The sequence below is a fragment of the Homo sapiens genome, chromosome 8 (genome assembly GCF_000001405.40).
Source record: "Homo sapiens chromosome 8, GRCh38.p14 Primary Assembly".
NCBI lineage: Eukaryota > Metazoa > Chordata > Mammalia > Primates > Hominidae > Homo > Homo sapiens.
Window position 1 is genome coordinate 117,998,609 of NC_000008.11, and position 21,479 is coordinate 118,020,087.

The 21,479-nt window shown below is 41.4% G+C and overlaps 1 protein-coding gene across 1 annotated transcript in view, besides 1 other annotated feature; it reads right to left on the minus strand.

The window, feature by feature from the left end:
- Positions 1-21,479, minus strand: part of EXT1 (exostosin glycosyltransferase 1) — a 317,337-nt gene that overhangs the window by 204,119 nt on the left and 91,739 nt on the right. The window lies entirely within an intron of this gene.
- Positions 19,735-20,934: an enhancer, noted in NCBI's record as "P300/CBP strongly-dependent group 1 enhancer chr8:119030582-119031781 (GRCh37/hg19 assembly coordinates)". NCBI's record gives its function as "activates an origin of replication core promoter dependent on BRD2, BRD4, P300/CBP, MED14 and CDK7 cofactors, with strong dependence on P300/CBP, by STARR-seq in HCT116 cells {active_cell/tissue: HCT116}" and the evidence as "EXISTENCE:reporter gene assay evidence [ECO:0000049][PMID:35650434]".

The following is a 21,479-nucleotide window of genomic DNA, read 5'->3' on the forward strand; positions in this document are numbered from 1 at the left end:
GAGGAATTTGCCTCTTTTGGTAGATTCATGCCTCTGTTGGCTGATCATGAGGATAAGAAAGCATACATATGAAGGTGTTCTGTGCCCATCACACAAATATAGAAGAGCTGAATACAGGCAAGGCTGCTGGGCACTTGTTACCGAGGGCTAACTTGTAAAACCCCCAAATGAGTCAGAATGAGTCCATTTTGGTAAAACTGAAAGAGAAAGATTACAGAAGTCAGCACTGCATTCCTACTTCAGCTCAATTACTCCCTAACTGAGTAACCTTCCCCAAATTAGTTAACCGTTCTTCACTTGTAAAAGCAAGGTAATACCACTAACACGCCAGAGTTCTGAGAAGGGAGGGAACATAAGTCATGTATAAACACAAAGCCAGGGATGGAGTAGGCCCGTGATCAATGTTAATTTACTTTCCTTCTTCCTTTCAGAAATTCCGGAATGAGAGGCTGGCACATAGAAAACTAGGAGTGCCATCATTTATAAAGTTGGTTGTTTTAATTTTTTAATTTAGTGCTTTATAGGATTATTTAGAAATAATGCAATGCCTTACTTTAGGGCTGAAAACAACCAGATTCTGCACAAAACATCTCTCACTGCCTAAACCAATAAAAATGTAATCAAATAATGGCCGACTAATATGTCAATATTTGATTTAGATTTTAAGAGGGGATGATTCTAGTTAAATTTATGAGACGCTCCACAACTTAACTCCTACACTCCAATCATTATAGAGACTAGAATTGCAGAAAGGGCAAATCTTCTAGAAAATGGTCCCAAGCCCTAACTCAGCCACATACTATTTATTACCTTTGTAGATGCACTCGATGTGATGAAGCAGTATGATCTGAAATATAGCTGTGTTTTAGTTTTAGATATTCTTTTGTACTCCTAGTACCATTCTGATCAGCTCCCACAGAAACATATCCTCTAATATGCTTAAAATTTCCACTAGAAGGCAAGTGGTCAGAAAAGCACATAAATTTTGAATTTTGTGGGGCTTACACAAATTTAATCCTCAATGCTATTTCAATGCAAGGAGCTAAAATGAAAGGACTATCTCACTGCAGGGGAGGCAGTGTTAGTTTTTAATCTGTAGGCCTTTCAGCCTGATTTGTATTGTTTTCTTCCTCCTGCCTCTCCTTCCTCACCTCTTCATTCAATAGTTCACAAAAAAAGTTCTTTTTACACCTAGAAAGAAAGAAAGATTCTTTAAAAACTTAGGAAAATCATTTTATTTTTCATAGTCAGAACATAAACCTCAGAGCTGAGCTCAGAACATCTCATAAAGCTAAAAGGAGATTTTTCACTACTTATTTCTGAGTGTATATATATATATATGTATGTGCGTGTATATATATATATGTGTGTGTGTATATATATATCTGTACTTTATACACACATACACACACACATACACACACACACAGTTTATTTTTTCCTGAATACCGCTCCTTTTGGATTCCTTATTCATCCAAGCCCATGCGAGGTAAACTGTTGCTTGCGTTTAATCAAATGTGATCCTGTTCCTCCTTTATCCAAAGCTAAGTTATACTTTTCAAAGAAAAGAAAGTAATAAATAGATCTGTGTGTATAAAAGACAGATGGAAGGGAGGGAAGGGCATCAGCATTAGGAAACATGAGCCAGTCCATCTCACCTAGACAAAACCTTTGCAGCAAACATGCAGATATCTACAGAGGTTTCAAAATGAACAATCCCTGACTACCTTGACAAAGGCTGAGTTTAGAAAAATGCATAGCATCATGGGCATGTCTCAAAGCCTTGCAGCCACCCCAAATAAGCTGAAATCCTGACAAACACAAGGGATGCCTAGAGTTGCAAGCCTTGGTTCCACTTTACACACCTCTCTGTGTAAACGAAAGTTGCCCGAGGTGATCTCTTGTCTTCCTGCCTAAGAGGCAATGTCTTAGCTGTAGCTAGGAACTGTTTAACTTCTTATTGGTCAATAACATGCCCCAGCAAGCAATAAATACGCCCTGACCTCGCAGCTGCCCTTTAGCACTGCACGCATCATTGATCCTGTGGGTCCTTGGGAAACAAGCCAATCTGAATAAAGCTAAGTGGAGGCCAAGTACCATTTCCCAATGTCTTCTTGCAATTCCCTAGTAGCTGTAACTAGAAATAGAGCACCTGGCAAATCATCACATCATGGATGTCAGAGTTAGATTATTATCTCCACGAGAGAAAGAAAAGAGCAAGAGAGACTGAGATTCTATCTACACAAAGAAAGTGATGTGATCCCTAATGTAGCAAAATCTCCCAGTCTTCACAATTAAAACTGGGGAGCCCAACATATGCTAGACGAGGAGAGCTGAAAAGATAGATTAAGAGAAAAATAATTCCCCATTGTCCTATACGCTTTCTTCATTCGATAATAAAAATGCACTTCATTCATAAAACACGTACAATAAAATATACGATCAACCCATTCCTGGGAGGTTCCTGACAGGTGAGTAACACAAAGATAGATGAGTATTATTAACTCTTCAGTACCAGTAGAATATCATCTTATTTGGTGATTTTCTCAATTCTCTACTGTACACTACCCTGTCATTTTTTGTTTGTTTTTGTTTTTTGAGACGGTCTCGCTCTGTCGCTCAGGCTGGAGTGTAATGAGGTGATCTTGGCTCATTGCAACTTCCACCTCCCAGGTTCAGGCAATTCTCGTGCCTCAGCCTCTCATGCAGCTGGTTACAGGCGTGTGCCACCAGGCCTGGCTAATTTTTGTATTTTTAGTAGAGACGGGGTTTCGCCATGTTAGCCAGGCTGGTCTTGGACTCCTGACCTCAAGTGATCTGCCTGCCTCAGCTTCCCAAAGTGCTGGGATTACAGGCATGAGTCACCGCGCCCGGCCTCCATCCATTTTTTTTTTTAATTGAACATGCAGTATCTACTGGTTTATTTTTAGGTAATGTACACACTCTGCTTTACTGACATAAAATGTATATTGTGAAATGTACAAAAATAAGAAGAATAAGATTAAGATACATTTTAAAATAATTTTTATCTTATTTATTAATTGTAAGAAAAAATGTAGTAAAACCAACATAATAGGTCATGCTTCGTTATTTTTCAACCCAGTCTATATTTTATAAACCAGTGATTCCAAGAACAGGTTTGAAATTCAGGATTTTTTTTCTCCCAAAACTTGGAATTAATGAGGGTTACAACTACGTAAGAAAGCTAACAAAGCTATGTGAATCCACATAGAAGTGCATTTGGGGCTACACTTAGAAAACCATGACCAAGCTTTTAAATCCCATTGGCCAATTTCATAAGAAAAGATTTTATTAAAATTTACTAATGCATCACAGCTATCTTAATGTCTATCAGTTGTTCTTGCAAACTTATCAAAAGAAATTAAACCAATGAATTCAAAAACTATTGAGACCCTTGTTGAAAGACTTTTTTAGACAAAGTAAAATAGTCATTTTTCAATGCTGTTTTAAGCTGAGAAGATAGGAAAGTTTTAATGGTGAATATATACCATTTTTAGCAACAAAAATCTAACAATGGAAATATTTCCAAATAAATTATTTTCAAAATAATTCTTCCTCAGCATAAACTCCATTTAAAAAAACATATATTTAATATATTAGTTGTTATCTTTACACTAAGAAGATTTAAGTTAAAAATGGTTTGTGGGAGGCTGAGACAGGAGAACCGCTTGAGCCTGGGAGGCAGAGGTTGCAGTGAGTCGAGATAGCACCATTGCACTCTAGCCTGGGCGACAGACGGCGACTCCGTCTCCAAAAAAAAAAAAAAAAAAAAAGGCTTGCCTGTTTCCTGATGTCTCTTTAATTTCCAACAAGCCCAAGCCATTAAGAAATGAGATTTACACTGTTGGTGGGAATGTAAACTATTACAATCACTATGGAAAACAGTGTGAATATTTTTCTTTTTTTTTTTTTTTTTTTTTGAGACAGAGTCTTGCTCTGTCACCCAGGTTGGAGCGCAGTGGTGCGATCTCAGCTCACTGCAAGCTCCACCTCCCAGATTCACCCCATTCTCCTGCCTGAGCCTCCTGAGTAGATGGGACTACAGGCACCCACCACCACGCCCCCCTAATTTTTTTGTATTTTTAGTAGAGACGGGGTTTCACCGTGTGAGCCAGGATGGTCTCGATTTCCTGAACTCGTGATCCACCCGCCTCAGCCTCCCAAAGTGCTGGGATTACAGGCGTGAGCCACTGCACCCGGCCTGGAGATTTCTAAAAGTAGGACTACTATTTGATCCAGCAATCCCACTCCTAGTATCTACCCAGAGGAAAAGAAGTCGTATGAAAAAGATATTTGCACACACATTTATAGATGCACAATTCCCAATTGCAAAAATATGGAACCAGCACAAACGCCCATCAGTCAACGAGTGGATAAAATGTTTTATATGTGTATATATATATATACACACACATATACACACCATGGAATACTAGTCAGCCATAACAAGAAATGAAATAATGGCATTCAAGGAACCTGGATGAAATTGGAGGACATTATTCTAAGTGAAGAAACTCAGGAATGGAAAACCAAACATCATATGTTCTCACTCATAAGTGGAAGCTAAGCTATGAGGTTGCAACGGCATAAGAATGAGAAAATGGACTTTGGGGACTCAGAGGAAAGAGTGGGAGAGGGATGAGGAATAAAAGACTACACATTGGGTATAGTTACACTGCTCGGATGACGGGTGCACTGAAATCTCAGAAATCACCACCAAAGAACTTACTCATGTAACCAAACACCACCTGTTCCCCAAAAACCTATTGAAATAAAAAAAAATTAAAAAAAAAGAAATTAGATTTTTCTAATTCCTGGCACCATTAGAACTTTCTGTATAATGTTTATGGGAATCTGGATTCTTTAAGTCAAGATCCAAAATCAAAGAAGGGAAATTTAAAAAATCAGTTTCCCTTAAAAGCCAACTAGATGTATAGCAAGCTCAGATTCTGCCAATTGTATTTCAAACTCAAAAAATATTCATAGGTTTTTTATTTAATTTCATTGCTATACAATTTTACTTGCCCCATAACTAGACATACCTGTTTTAGTTAAAATATGTACTTACTCTACTTTGATTTCAATTTAAATGTTGCTTAACATAAAACATAGCAACCCACTAGTTACTAAGTTTTCTTTTTAAGCCCAGAGAAAAGCAGAATTCATTTAAAATTGACCTCCAGCATGGTTAAATAATATATTTCATGTTCATATTTATTTACTTCAAACAAGGTATATTTTCATGGTTTTTGTACTTTTCTACACTTTTGCTTTTAGCACAATAAACAGAAAAACCATATTACCACATTCTAATATGTTTACAAATTTTTTCATGAAATTGTGAATCAAAACTTATTCAATAACTAGAGCCCTTTAAGAAACAGTTTGAAGAGATTCTGTGAAGCTTAAGCAATTAGGCTAGAAGTTCTTCAAAGAATAGAAATAGTTGGACACACAACCTCCCAAACAGCAGAGGCAGGAAAAAAAAAATTGTGGGGAAACCTACAATAATCGTCAAGTGAAACAAACTACATATTTTCCTTACTACTATTGTTTAAATTTTCTGTCCTCCTCAACTAGAATGTCAATTCCAAGAAGAGAGGGATTCACGTGGCCATGTGTGCATCCATGTTCATATGCATGGAGGTGTGCATGTGCACGTATGTGTGCAAATTGTGTATGCACGTGCATGTGGGTATATGCATATGTGTGTTTTACTGTTGCATCTCCAGGACCTGGCACATTTAGCTCCTCAATGAATATTTTGGAGCTAAATGAGTCTTTATTGAATGAATGGACAAATACAGGCAAGAAAAGAGGGTGGGCAGAATATAGAAAAACTGAAACTTTCTGGCTGAGGAGGAAGAAGCACTGATACACCAAACCTCTCAGCCACGAAAGGGAGGAAACCAAAGAGGGAGCACAGCGCAGATGTCCCACTAAACTCGGTGCCATTGATCAATCTTTCTATCACCTTTTCCACCACTTGAATGATTATTTTCAGTCCTTGTATCTGGGATTTCACTTCCTGAGTATTCCAGTCTCTTGAGCTTCCCTTACATCACAAACTCAGGAAATTCCTTTTGATTTAATCTCAAGCCAGTCACCCCATGCCTGGATGCAATTAGTCCACCCACATTCTCCATGTAATATGCAAACTGCGTTATTGGTCTCCAAATATGCTGATGATTCTAGGCAACAATATTGCCTTAGGAGTTAGGGTGAAGTATTTTGATTTACCGGATATGAGGCCAGAATTTTTCATTCACAATAATACTGAGAGCTGCAGCCACTTTCTAAGCACCTACTTGGCCACCACACTCCGTAGGACATTTAGTAAACATGGTCTATTTATTCTCCACCCTGATCCTGGAAAATGATGTTATCATCCCACTTTTACATGGGGGTGAGGGAGACAAAGTCCTGAGACAAAGTGATTTGCATGAGATCACAGAGCTGGAGAGTGGCAGTCAGGACTTGAGGTCCAAAGCTCTCTACCTAACTTTTGACAGCTGGGGTTTTTCATACAAGTTAAAGGGCCCAGCCTCAGAGACCATCACATGCTTAATGATGCTTCTCATGACTGACAGATATCCCAGACTTGCTTGCAGCTAGGCAGACTATTAGGGATTAGTCTAAACCCCTCATGTTATAGTGCTCAGCCCAAAGGGTACACATATACAACTTCCATGCCTAGGTTCCCACCAGTTTCTTAGCTCTAGTTACAAAGCTCGATTTGCTACAGCATAGCAACTGAGGAATAGGCACCTCAACAATGATTAAAAACAGCAAAACAAAACAGCAGCAGTAGCTAATACCTATGCACTATTTAGTATATGCCAGGCTCTTCCTAAGAATGTTTCACGTGCAATTAGCTGACTTTCACAGCAACTCTATCGGATATGAATTGTCTAATCTTTTCATTTAACAGAGGAGAAAACTGAGGCAACAAAGGGTTACATAAACTAATGATCTAAGGTCACACAAGCTGCTAAGTGATTGAGCCAGGATTTAAAACTGGCAGACTGGCTACAAGTCCAGCATTTCACCACTACGCAAAGTGTCTTTTATGATAATTGGCCCTCTCTGTACTTTTTCTTCTACGTCACATGTAGGTGAAGATTGCAAAATGATTGCAAACTCTGCAATGGGAAAAGGACCATCCAGGAAAATAACACACCCTATGTATGCTTCTTCATTTATTACAGAGTCTTCACTTTACAAATTTGGCCACCAATACACAGCCCTAATAAATATGCATCAAATATACTACGGCTTACAAGAAGTGTCCATCAAAGCAGCCATCTCTACTGTTATACAATAGGACAGCTCTAATACTATAAAACAGGACAATTCTTATTACTCTATAGGTAAGAATGCAGGTAAAATAATGTTAACATGAACTTGAGGTGTGGCCTTTATAAAGCTGTTAAATCCTCTCAGGTATACTCAGCTAGGTTGCCCATCTAAGTTTATAGGGTTCTGGAAAGCAATTCCTTATTCCTCTTAACATCTCTCCCACTTTGCAGCCCATGGTCCCAGACCAGTCAGTGCTTTGCAAGGAGTGAGTCTACTATAACTTATTCTCTGACTGACCGCAGGAACTTTCTTCCAGTTCTGAGACAACATCAACAATGGGGGTCCCTCCACCTTTCCTGCTTCTGTTTGGAGTCAAATATGTTAGAATCATTAATATCACTGCTGTAAAAAATGTCAGAATTATATGGATCTCTGAGGTTTTTGAGTACCACTAAAGGAGTATAGTGTTTGAGTCAAAAAACCTGAGACCAAATATGAGCTCTGCCCTTTTAGAACGTAACTTTCCTTTTTCAGAGCTGAACCAAGTTTCAACTTACTCATCTGTGAAATGCCTATAATACTCTACCTATCTCTAGGAATGCCTTGAAGGTCAAAAATCGTAACAATAATGGGGGACAACTGTGGTTCAGTGGAAAGAATATTAGAATAAAGTTAGATGATCTGAGTTCAAGTTTCACATTATCCTAACCCACTTCAGTGAACAACTGAGGCTGATTCCATCTAAACTGTCTGAATCTCATTTTTATCATCTGAAAAAATATTCACATTTTTAAAGAGTTGCTTTAGGAAGAAAAGAGACTAGGACCCACTTCTTCTCAAGCCAAGCCAGTGTCATTTAGACTACAACAGGTTGTAAGAGTGGCCTGAGGCAAAAAAGAGAACACTCTCTCCATGAAAGAGGCATCCTCTACCTAGCTCTGGAGGACCGTGGCCATGTAGAAATGCAAGCGTAGGGCTGCCAAATCTTCCATTTTCCTACCTAAGCACTGAATCCACATTTCTATGTGAAATCCTTCAGTTGTTAGAGTTGGCAATTAATTCAATTTTTTAAAAGCATTTGATGGCTGGCCGGGCGCGGTGGCTCACGCCTGTAATCCCAGCACTTTGGGAGGCCGAGACAGGCGGATCACGAGGTCAGGAGATCGAGACCATCTTGGCTAACACGGTGAAACCCCGTTTCTACTAAAAATACAAAAAATTAGCTGGGCGTGTTGGCGGGCGCCTGTAGTCCCAGCTACTCGGGAGGCTGAGGCAGGAGAACGGCGTGAACCCAGGAGGCGGAGCTTGCAGTGAGCTGAGATCGCGCCACTGCACTCCAACCTGGGGGACACAGCGAGACACCATCTCAAAAAAAAAACAAAAAAAGCATTTGATGGCCCTAGAGAACATGCCTACAGACAGGTTACATAAGAATATCTGCATCCTTTCTAAGGTAACAAGGAACAGTTACCACCATCCTAAGCAACCTAAGGGGATCTTGAATATTTTTGATAACTTGGTGAAAACTAGAGGCCTCCTTTCAAGGAAAATGCATCAGAACAAACAGTTAGTGCATGTGGGGCTTCATACCTAGGTGATATATTGACAGGTGCAGCAAAACCACCACGGCACACATTTACCTAGGTAACAAACCTGCGTGTTCCACACATGCATCCAGGAACTTAAAGTAAAATTAAATTAAATACAAAAGACGAAGAAGATAGGTCTAACATGATTCTAGAGCTTCAAGCCCAGGTAACTACAAGACTGTAGTTTCATTCGCATCACCAGATGAGAGAAATCTTGTTTGGGAAGATAAGAAAGGAACAGGGAGATGACACAGAGCTGGAAGAGAGAAAGAAAAAAATGAATAAACTAAAGTGTAATATGCTTCAGTTGTGTAAGGGGTTTGACAGAGGACAATTTTGCCCTATAATTTCTAGAACATTACCCAAGGGACTAATGATAGTGAGTATCTATGGTGGAGAGGGGCAGTGCTGGCAGAGGAGGCACGCAGGTGGAAGGGAGACTGTTTTCACTATATTTTGATACTTGTTTTAAACCATGTGAATTACTGTCTAGTCATGACGACCAAAACAAATTAACTAATAATAAAAATCTGATGCTCTCCCTCCCTTCACCTCCCAACCCCCGACAGGCCCAGGGATGTGTGACGTTCCCCTCCCTGTGTCCATGTGTTCTCATTGCTCAGCTCCCACTTGTGAGTGAGAACATGCAGTGTTTGGTTTGCTCTTACTGTGTTAGTTTGCTGAAGATGATGGCCACACTGTCTTCCACAATGGTTGAGCTAATTTATGCATATTATACTTTTTTTTGTTTTTTTATTTGAGACAGAGTTTTGCTCTTGTTGCCCAGGCTGGAGTGCAGTGAGGTGATCTTAGCTCCCTGCAACCTCCACCTCCCTGGTTCAAGCGATTCTCCTGCCTCAGCCTTCCAAGTAGCTGGGATTATAGACGCCCACCACCATGCCTGGCTAACTTTTTGTATTTTTAGTAAAGACAGGGTTTCAGCAGGTTGGCCAGGCTGGTCTCGAACTAGGTGATCCACCCGCCTCAGCCTCCAAAAGTGCTGGGATTACAGGCCTGAGCTACCATGCCCAGCCTGCATTTTATATACAGACTTACTTGTTTTCACTTCATGTATTATGGAGGGATTTCCACGCTATTATATGAAGATATTCAATACCATTTTTCTGTGGCTGCACAGTATCCTATGGTATTGGCAATAAAGCATTATGTATTTAATTAGACACACATTGATTACATTGTTTCTAATCTTTTCTTATTAAAACCACAGCTGCAATTAAAAAAAAATACACCTTTGGTTACATTTTACTTTCTTCCTGCTTAAATTGCCTTATCTGAAAATGAAGATACTATCAGTCCCACCTCACAGAGTTTTTTAAAGAATGAAATACATGAAAAATATGTAAAATTCTTAGTTCCAGAAACCAGGTAAATCCTCAGCAAGTGTTAGATGTGATTGCTATTATGAAATGGGTCATCTCTTATCTACGCAAGTATATCTGTAGAATGCATTCCAAGCAGTAGAACTGCCAGGAGATTTAAAAGGAAACGGGAAAGTAGGTATTAATGTGGAGGTCCCAGAAAATTGGGGGAAACCAACATGGGAAATGAAGCAGCCATTGGCTTACCAGGGACAGAGGTTGAAGGTGTCCCAGAAGCCACATCGCAATAGGGACTTGAGAAGTCTGTGAGTCCTATCTGGTGAAAGGGTCCCCTGAGCTACACTGGGAATGTGAGCACGCCTCCCAGACTAACATTCTCCTCTGTTGTTCTAATCAACCAGCAATGTGTCTAGGAAAGGCCAAATTCTTGGCAGCCAAACTACATTTCCCAGATTACTTCAGTCCTGGAAGAAACAACAAAAACTATGCCAGGTCACATGTCTCCATTTTCAGGACTGGAAAATGAGGGCATAGATTTGTGGCTCTAATCCACAGAGGGAAAGTTGAGAAAAGGACGTGGAGAAAGGGTGAGTCAAAGCAAGTGAATGACCAGACAGTGGCCAACATTTCCAGACTCCAAAAGGGCAAGCAATATTTGCATATACCAACACTGGGTCTGCAGCAGGGGGCCCCAACCCTTGGGCAGCAGACCGACCCTAGTCCGTGGCCTGTTAGGAACCGGGCTGCAAAGCAGGAAGCGAGTGACAGGCAAGCGAGGATTACCACCTGAGCTCTGCCTCCTGTCAGATCACTGGTGGCATTAGAATCTCATAGGAGAGTGAACCCTATTGTGAACTGTGCACGTGAGGGATCTGGGTTGCACGCTCCTTATGAGAGTCTAACTACTGCCTGATGATCTCAGGTGGAACAGTTTCATCCTGAAACCATCCCCACACCACCCTCCTGGTCCGTGAAAAAATTGTCTTCCACGAAACCGGTTCCTGGTGCCAAAAAGGTTGGGAACCGCTAGTCTATACTCACCTGGACCAAATGCGTATTTAGTGCAAAACAAGGAGGTCTTCAACTGCTGAGGGAATTGGGTTCTAAGAAGTGGCTAAGAGCTAACAGGTAGGCTAAAGAGCTAATAAAACCAAATCCCTGAGCTCAGATAAAAAGTAAGAATAACCTTTGTCCATCAGTGTCTTCATTTGCCTATTGCAAGATGGATGTTAGGACTTAGAGTTGGCAGGATATAAGTATATTTTCACACTTTGGGAGGCAGAGGCGGGCGGATCACGAGGTCAGGAGCTCGAGACCATCCTGGCTAACACAGTGAAACCCCATCTCTACTAAAAATACAAAAAATTAGCCGGGCGTGGTGGCGGGCACCTGTAGTCCCAGCTACTCGGGAGGCTGAGGCAGGAGAATGGAGTGATCCCGGGAGACGGAGCTTGCAGTGAGCTGAGATTGCGCCACTGCACTCCAGCCTGAGCGACAGAGGGAGACTCCGTCTCAAAAAAAAAAAAAAAAAAAAGTATATTTTCAAATTTTTTGGCCTACTTTCACCCCCCACCTCTATTTCACCTCTACCCAAATCTCATCAAAACAAGCAAAAAAGAGCACTTTGACCACTCACTGGGAAGAATTCCAACTGCAACAGTTTACAAAGAAAACCAACATAAATTTCACTTGAATGTGTTACGCTGACCTCCCAAAATCCATCTCAGCTAATTAAAAGAAGCTGCAGAGCAGTTCCTATGGATATTAGCATTCAGGTCCTTTAGGAGCATGTTTACGTGGCACATCACCTTGCTGGGAGGCTCCCAGTACCCTGGGCTGAAGGCATCAATTCTCACTGGCAACGGCACGGCCGCAAGAGTGTGATCGCAGGCTCTGTGGAACCTCATGAAATGTTTAAGGACTCTCTTGGCTCACATCTCACTCTTCCTCACTCTACCCCATCTCAGGCTTCACCTTCTCCCCTTGCTAGAAGCCACTTCCGTGGCAGACGCTCTGGGTGCCAAGGTTTACAGTAACACCCCAATGGGACAGCAAGATTAATGAAAGCTTTCTGTGGGTAATTCAACTCTGTTCAGTAATATGACACTGAGAGGACAACAGGAGCTTGCAGGAAAGAAGAGGGGTAAGGAAATGGGAGAGCCATCAAGATGTGCACATGAAAACCTGTTTGCAATGTGGGAAGGACTCATCTGGTCAGCTATGGCTATTTGTCAGCATAGCATAGCAGCCACTTCACCATGAGAAAGTGTTATATGCAAACGACACCTCCTCAAAGAGGCCCTCACAGACTACCACAGCCAAATCCTCTCATATCTCTTTTCCCTGCCTGACATTAAAAGTGTACTCCCTCTGCTGCTTTGTCTGTTACCGACTTCCCGGTCCAGAATGGAAGCTACAAAGAGGCAGGACTCGTGTCTGTCTCATAATACTCCATTCCCCAGCCACTTAAAGTGAGCCTGGAACGTAGTAGGCACCCACTAACCTTATGAACACCAGTGAATGACTAGCTGGAATTCTGCAATAGCTTTTAATTTTAAAATGTGCCTACAAAATCCATCAAAATCCATTTTCCATTACCATATTAGGGTATGAAGAGGGGAAAAAGTATCGAGTAAATACTGGATCTGAGTCACCATGCCTGGCATTTTATACATAATAGTCACTTAATTTCTAGGACTCTCTGAGGTCGGCATGACTAATGCTATTTCAGATTAGGAAAACTGAGGTTCACAGATACAAACACAACTCACCCAAAGTCGCATATGTGGAAAGTGATCATTTCTGGTTTGTCTGATCCAAAATTCCCTGCATCTGTCACTCCCCACCCTGATCGCTCTCTGGCTCCTAAGGCTTTCATTTGGTTTTCCCAAGATCGGGCTCCCCTGTGACATGTCTCCATGACAAGCCGTTAGTATTCACTCAGAGACAAATTCCAAACGCATCTTTGATCTCACTACTTCAAGGAATCCCTTTAGTCACTTAGAAATGGAAACAGTCTGTTTTTATAAATGGCTCAGGAAGGGAGGACAGTCATCGCAGGCAGAGTCCTACAGAGAGCGCGAGAGAACATGGGAAGCAGCCGACCACTGGTGCAAGGAAGGGGCTCCCAGCAGCAGCAGCAGGAGGAGCCCCAGGGACCAACTTGGGAGAGGTTTGTTCTCAGATCCAGTGCTCCCTTTCTTCACACAGCAAGAACTACCACCACGGACGTGTCTCCTTTCTTTAAAGTGCTTTGTTATCATTTACTAATAAAGGAAAACTCACAGACCCAGGCCTTCAAAAGCTCTCGCCAAAAGTAGGGAACCCTCAATGAAGCGCAGGCCAGATGCCAGTTTTCGGTGCAAAGCGATCCTGTGATCATCAAGAATTTAGAAGCCTTGCTGAAAGTTTCCACTGCACACAGAAGACCACACAGGACAGAGTTTCTTCCACGGGGCTAAGGCCTAATTCCCGAAGAAGCCACTGCGGCTTCCTAGTTTGGCACAGGTGTCAAAAGCCACTTTTGGATTGACCCTTTTTGTCCGGGAAGGTGAAGCTTCCTAAGGCTAGATGGAACAAGCTGCTGGTGCAGTGTCTGCCTCCCCAAGCCAAAGAGCAGATTTCCACAAGGCCACCCGACAAGGCAGTCTCTAGGACAGAGACCAGGCCCAGATAAAAGGCTTTAGCCTTGGCAGCACAGTGCACTAAGAACAGGCCTCCAGGGTGGAGACACCTGGCTGAAATTCCAGCTCTGCGTCTCACTGCTGTTTGACCTGGGGCTGTGCACATCACATCTCTATCAGTTTCCACATCTTTAAAATGGGGCTGATAAAAATAACTACCTCTCAGGGCAGCCTGCAACAATGATGCATGTAAATTGCCTGGCACATAATGGACATTCAATCTAACATTAACCAAAACATTATTATTTTTCTCACAAAAAAGACCCCAGGAGGTTCTGTTGTTCCATTTTCTAACTCACCCTTATTGCTCTGACTGTAATCATACCCAAAATAAAAGCCTTTTCCTAAATTTGTTGTAGCAGAATGGTGGCCTGATTCTTTCTATCGTTAGTAAGGCAACTAACTGGCTCTCACTCCTTCGTCTCTAAAATTAAGCAAATGAAAACATGCATAATGTGGGTGAAGAAAAGGTGAACTACTTCTATGTGTTCACTGATGTTTTTTTTTTCTTTGAGACAGAATCTCTCTCTGTTGCCCAGGCTGGAGTACAGTGGCACAATCACAGCTCACTGCACCTCAACATCCCAGGCTCAGGCGATCCTCCCACCTCATCCTCTCTAGTAGCTGGGATTACAAGCATGGGCCACCACACCTGGCTACTTTGTTGTTGTTGTTGTTGCTGTTGTTGAGACAGAGTCTCACTCTGTCACCAGGCTGGAGTGCAGTGGCGCAATCTTAGCTCACTGCAATCTTCATTTTCTAGGTTTGAGCAATTCTCCTGCCTCAGCCTCCCAAGTAGCTGAGATTACAGGAGCCCGTCACTGCGCCCAACTAATTTTTGTATTTTTAGTAGAGACGGGGTTTTACCATGTTGGCCAGGCTGGTCTCAAACTCCTGACCTCAGATGATCCACCCGCCTCGGCCTCCCAAAGTGCTAGGATTACAGGCATGAGCCACTGGGCCCCTTAGTACAGGGGCTAGAGTAGGTAAGCCATTCACTCTCTTCCCCAAGAGGACAGCAGAGACCCAAGAATGAGACAGAACAGAATGTGGCACATAGAAAGGATGGATGGACTTGGAGTCAGAAGTCAGAAAGTACGATCATACAATCTGAAAACCCACTACCCACATACAGGGTTGCTTGATTTTAGCAAATGAAAATACAGGATACCTGGTTAACCTTGTATGTCAGATAAACAACGAATTTTCTAGTATACTATGGTCCACTATTTTTAAATGTAAGTATGTTCAAATATTTCATGGGATATACTTATACTAGTCATTATTTATATGACAATCAAATTTAACTGGGCCTCCTACATTTTACCTGGCAACTCTTGTCATGTAAAGATCTTAAATCTACCTTGATGCAGTAAAAAGAATATGGATTTTGGAGTTAAGTTGAACTGCGATTGAATCCTGGCTCACTACAAGCTCAATGTGTAATCCTAGCTAGTTATCTGAACTGCCTGAATCTTGCTTTACATATCTGTAAATGGCAGTGATAACACCTCACAGGGCTGTGCTATAGGTTAAATAAAGATAATGATGATGGCGATAATAATTACTAATATTGACAGTTTCATTTATTAAGTGCTCAACAAATGTTAGCCTTCTTTGCTCTTTGAGCCTCAAAGATTTCCCATCTACAAAATGGGGTTAAAGATATTGGTAATAAAATTCAAATATGTTTTCTGATAAGAATAAGGATACTTCAGCCTTCCTCCCATGGATTTCTGGGAAAAAATCTCAAGAATTTATTTTCTTTGGGTCTGCAAAATATCCCCTTTATCCCACCCAAAAAGGTCATTTTTGGTCTGCCTGGTTGTGATAAATGTATTTTATGCAAAATAGTCTTGAATTTTCTCTCAGGAGTTCACATACTCTCCTTCTCATGTCCGTGCATCCCTTCAACCAGTTATTTCTTTAAAATGTGGTCTGAGAATGTCAGCATTAGAACCACCTGTAATGCCAAAGGACTTCCCTGAGCCCAGTTACAGAACAACCAAATTAGAATTTCTGGAGCTGGACCCAGAAAGCATCCTTCTTCTTTTTTCTTTTTAATTTATTTTAAATTTAAATAGAGATGGAGTCTTGCTATGTTGCCCAGGCTGGTCTTAAATGCCTGGGCTCAAGTGATCCCCTCGCCTCAGCCCCGAAAGTGCTGGGATTATAGGTAGGAGCCACCATGCCCAGCCAAGCATCCTTCCTAACAAACTCCTCGTGTGGTTCTTAAACCCGTTCAAGTTTGGGTACCATTACCCTAAAACCTCAACCCCAGGCCCAAGAGTTACACAAGCAGACTCACCTTCCCCAAAGTTAACATTAATATTCTGCAAGGGATGGGAACGGTGAATTCCAGAGTGATACAAGAATGGAATTTTCAAAGCTTTTATATGAGGAACAGATCAGCTCATCTAACACTCTGTTTTGGAGCATTTGTGTCAAATTGACATTCCAATTTAAAGACCATACATAAAACCCCATTCAATTATTTAGCACTGTACAGATTTTACATAACTCTTGAAGTTACTGACTCAATTCATTTTCCTTCGAACTGCAAGACAGATTAATCTAAAATGAATTAAGACAGGCAACCAGAAGTAATGTTGCCACTGCCAGTAAACAGTCTTTAAACTGCTGGATCAGTAAGCTGCTTACAGCCTTGCAAGCGCTGACGCCACATCTGCTCGGCAATTCATGTGCTCTCAAGCCAAGGATTTAGAATCCATGTTTGTCATGATCACAGAAACTCGAGAGAGGGGGTAATGTTTAACCCAAGCCTTTTCTTTTACCAATAGGTATCACTTCTTCCCCGCAAAATGAACATGAAGACCATGACTCGGTTACAAATATTTCAGGTTACATCAAAATGCATAAATGTATCCAAAATTCCACGATCTAAAGTTTCTAATAATTTGGAAAAAAAATTCTAAAATACCCTAAATTATTCCTGACATCAAATTGCTCAGAGTCCGGCAGAGAAGAAAAACAAAAAAACAATTATGAGAGATGCTAGAAAGCATGACAAGAGAGTTCCAGTGTCAAGAGGGACATCAAAGCCAGATGTTGGGGGAAGGAACACGGCAGAAGAGTTCCTAGAAAAGACGGCATCTAAACTAAGAAGGGGGTAATGCAGATGTTATGGGTGAACTGTGTCTCCCAAAAAGATATGCCAAATTCCTAAACCCCAGCACCTCAGCATATGACTTTATTTGAAAAAGCAGTTGTTGCAGCTGTCACCCCAGCCTGGAGTGGGGAGGGCCCTTAATCCAGTTGACTGCTGTCCTTATAAAAAAAGGAAAGAGACACAAAGAAGAGAATGCCATGTGAAGACAGAGAGAGATGCACAGACACAGAGGGAAGATGGCCAAGTGAAGGTGGCAGCAGGGACTGGAGTTAGGCTGTGCCACAAACCAAGGAATGCCTGGGGCTACCAGAAGCTACCAGAGGCAAGGAAGGAAACCTATAGGCTTCCAAGGGAGCAGGACTCTGCTAACACCTTGATTCTGGACTTCTAGACTTCGCATCTGTGAGAGAATAGATTTTTGTTGTTTAAAGCCACTCCAGGCGGGGCGTGGTGGCTCACGCCTATAATCCCAGCACTTTGGGAAGCCGAGGTGGGCAGATCACTAGAGGCCAGGAGTTTGAGACCAGCCTGGCCAACATGGAGAAACACCATCTCTACCAAAAATAAAAAAAATTAGCCAGGCATGGTGGTGCACACCTGTAATCCCAGCTACTTGGGTGGGAGAGGCATGAGAATCTCTTGAACCTGGGAGGCAGAGGTTGCAGTGAGCCAAGATCACGCCACCGTACTCCAGCCTGGGTGACTGAGAGAGACTCTGTCTCAAAAATAAATAAATGAATAAATAAAGCCACTCCGTTTGTGGTACTTTGTTACAGCAGCCTTGGGAAATGAATGCAGTAGGACGGGGCCAGAGGGCATGGGATCCTGACGTAGGAAAGCCACAGGACCAAGACCTGGAGGTAAAGGGGAAGGCCACCTTTGTTTCAAGGAACCACAAAGAATTTAGTCTGGTGGGAAGAGAGGAAGGCAGGCAGCACCTGGAAGACTTTGTCCCGGCTGCAGTAAAGGCCATCTTCTGCTCTGCATTATGCTCACCAAAAGGCTTAACTCTAAGGAGCTAACCCCAGTCTCTAGCAGAATGAACAAGAAGCATGAAACTGCTCCCAGTAAAAACTAACCTACAACTGAAAAGGCACTGTGAATGGAAACGTGTTCCCAAAATCATCAATACTCACTGCCGGCAGACAACAAGCCAAGCTTTCCATGCCATCACAAAATTCTGAGTCAGTGACTGGAACAGACACAAGCAGCCTCTGGAGTTCTGGTGACATTCGATTTCTTGATCTTGGTGCTGGTTATAGACGTGTTCACTTTGTGAAAAATTATCGAGTTGAATCTTTGTGATGCACGAACTTCTCTGTATGCATGGTACGTGTATAAAATTTCCAATGAACTTCCAATGAAAGAAGGAAGGAATATGTAACATTTAGCATCTTGTTCTCCCAGACGGACCGGTATAATCATTTATAAAGATAAGATGTCCATCATCTTGAACGGAAAATACTGCTATCCGTTAGTCTGCTTGAATCTGAATCTGATCACCATAGGATAAGTTTTTAAATCTCCAAGACATTACTAAGTAAAACCTACCTCATTCTCCTTATACATTATCCTCTCTTTTTAGGCTAATTAAAAAGCTTGTCTCAGCTGGCCTGGGTTAATAATAGAACACTATTTCTTATTTAAACAACAAATCTCACTTTTAAGAGGTTTTGTCTCTTGCAAAACCTCAGGTTTTATATGAAACAAAAGAGTTATTTGACGCATGTTTTTACCTGAGTTGCTAAAGTAAACAGTAACAAAGTCAGCACTGAGTCCTCAAGAAAGCTAAGTCTGATTCAGGGACTTATCTCCCCTCACCACTGTATCTCCCCTCCACCACTGTATCTCCCCTCACCACACTGGTATGCAGACACTCTTGCCATTGGTTTAGAAAGCAGATGATAAATATTTAAAATGGGTCCACAGTCCAATGAACAAAACAGATATCAGGTAGAAAATCTCCTAATTGGCAGATTACATTTTTAGTTATAACCCCAAAATGGCTTTTGCAAATTATCAAAGCAACTCAAATCTGCATAATCTTAATTTAAAGCAACATAATTCGAGACTGTGAGGAATCTAATTGCCAGCTAAACAACTGTTTCCAACCGTAATTGGCTTCCCACAACCCTGCACACGATCATGTACACACATGCTTAAACCACCTGATGTGGAAGGCATCTGGACCGAGCCCAGCACTGCCAAAAGAATCTTTGAAAAAATGCAACAAAAGGAATGAGCTCTTGCACAGAATTTTCCACACATTGGCTCAGAGCAATTTCGCTTTCCAGAATGATTCCCTTAACTGTCAAGAAGGGGATTATAGTGCTATTCATTGCACAAGCAATTTTTTCTTACAATTAATTTTCACCCTTCTCCAATGTATAGAACAGTGTGATATATACATATCCACTAAAGACAGATCTATAGGTGTATGTTACTAGTTGAGCTGTGTCCTCTGCAAAATTCATAAGTTGAAGACCCAGCCTCCAAGTACCTCCAAATATGTCCTTATTTGGAAATAGGGTCATTGCAGATGTAATTAGTTAAGTTAGAATGAGGTCATACCAGAGTAGGGTGGGTGCCTAAGCCAATATGAATGGTGTCCTTATAGGAAGGGGAAAAATTGGAAAAACACACACACATGTATGCACATACACACGGGAAAAAACAGGTGAAGATGAAAGCAGGGATCAGGATGATGTTTCTATAAAGCCAGAAACACCAAAGATTGCCAGAAAATCCCCAGAAGCTAGGCAAGAGATATGGAACAGACTCCCTCTAACAGCCCACGGAAGGAAAACAGCCCTGGCAACACCTTGATCTTGACTTCTGGCCTCCAGAACTGTGAGGTTTGGGTTATTTAATCCACCAAGTTTATAGACTTTGTTACAGCAGACCTAGGAAACTAATACAGTGTATAACAACAATCTTTAAGTAAAAATCTGTGTGTGCCACTCTGTCTTACTTGTATACGCACATACATTGAGAGTTATCTTCCAGGAAATAATAAATTTCGTTATTACTAAGCCCTTGGATGTTTGATTTACAACAGTTGTGGGTGCATGAGGTTAATCACAGGACTGGGGAAATTCTGACTCACAATCCCAAAAGGCTGAAGTTCCAAATTTTGTCACGCAACCCTGAATTCACTCCAGCTCTGGGAAACCTCAAATCCCAAAGAAAACACAACCTGGTTTTCTCTCTCTTTTTTCCAATACAGACATAGGTATAATTTAATAATAGTACCCTGCTTCCCAAATGCAATTAAAAATGGCCTTCATTACTCCTCTGAATGAGTGTGTTTTATAATGCTGCAATCTACGGTTCAATAAAAAAGCAACTACTGCACCTATCATGGCAAAGCTGTAAAAACTGATCAGTGTGCTTTTGGTAGCTCTAGAGGCAGAGGAAAAAAAGAAAAAAAAAAACTTAAAGGAACAGGCACAAAATAAGTTGGTACAATGTGAGTGCTTTAGAAATCCAGTTTTTCATTTCTGAAACCTTTGATTTCCCTAACTTTGATTCTTTTCCCCTTTCACTTAGGAAGCAGTAAGACATAGCAGTACGATTGAAAGAAAGAAAGAAAGAAAGAAAGAAAGAAAGAAAGAGGAAATGGGAGTAATTGAGATTCAAACTTTTATACAGAGAGAGGTAAGTCTTGAGCACATGTATCTCTAAATCGTCTTCTGTGCTGTTGTACTCAAAAAGTGTGTGTTTGTGGACAGAGAGAAAGACAGGCAGAGAGAGAGAATACGACTCAGAGCCATGCTTCTTAAAACAGGAAGAATCATTAAAATTAGCAACTCAGCACTAAACAGTGAGCAGAACCACAAGGTAAATGGTGGGTCCAGATTCTATCGCAGAAAAGAGTCATTTCCTGTGACTATTCATCGTACATCGTCTTGGACCAGAAAAGGAACCTTGAAGTCATCTCTAAGATCTTAGTGTCTTTCTTTTCCCACCATACCCAACAATGCTCACAGGGTGACCTGAACAGAATGAAGTTTTCTGTGTGTCACACACAATTTTAAGCACTCGCTATGTATTAAGTATTGTCAACATCCCCTTTTTATTGTTGGAGGAACTGAGACAAAACTTAAATAACTCTGACCAAAGTTACCCACTTGGTAAGTGGTGGTGGCAGATTCCAGACTCTGCCCTCTTAGCCACCAGGAACACTGCCTTTCAATAAATGGTGCTTGGTGAAATAACCAAGCAATAAACCCATTGCATGAGGAATGCTTCTTTCATAGTCTCATGTTTCAGAGCCCTGAGCAGTTCAATGTGCAAAAGATGCCCAGCAATGTTGCTCACCCCTGGTTATTTTGGGGTTGCTCAAAGTCTCTGCTCTTCTTCCATCTTTACTGATTTATTATTTTACTGGTCTTCCAATAACTTCAGAAGCAACTTG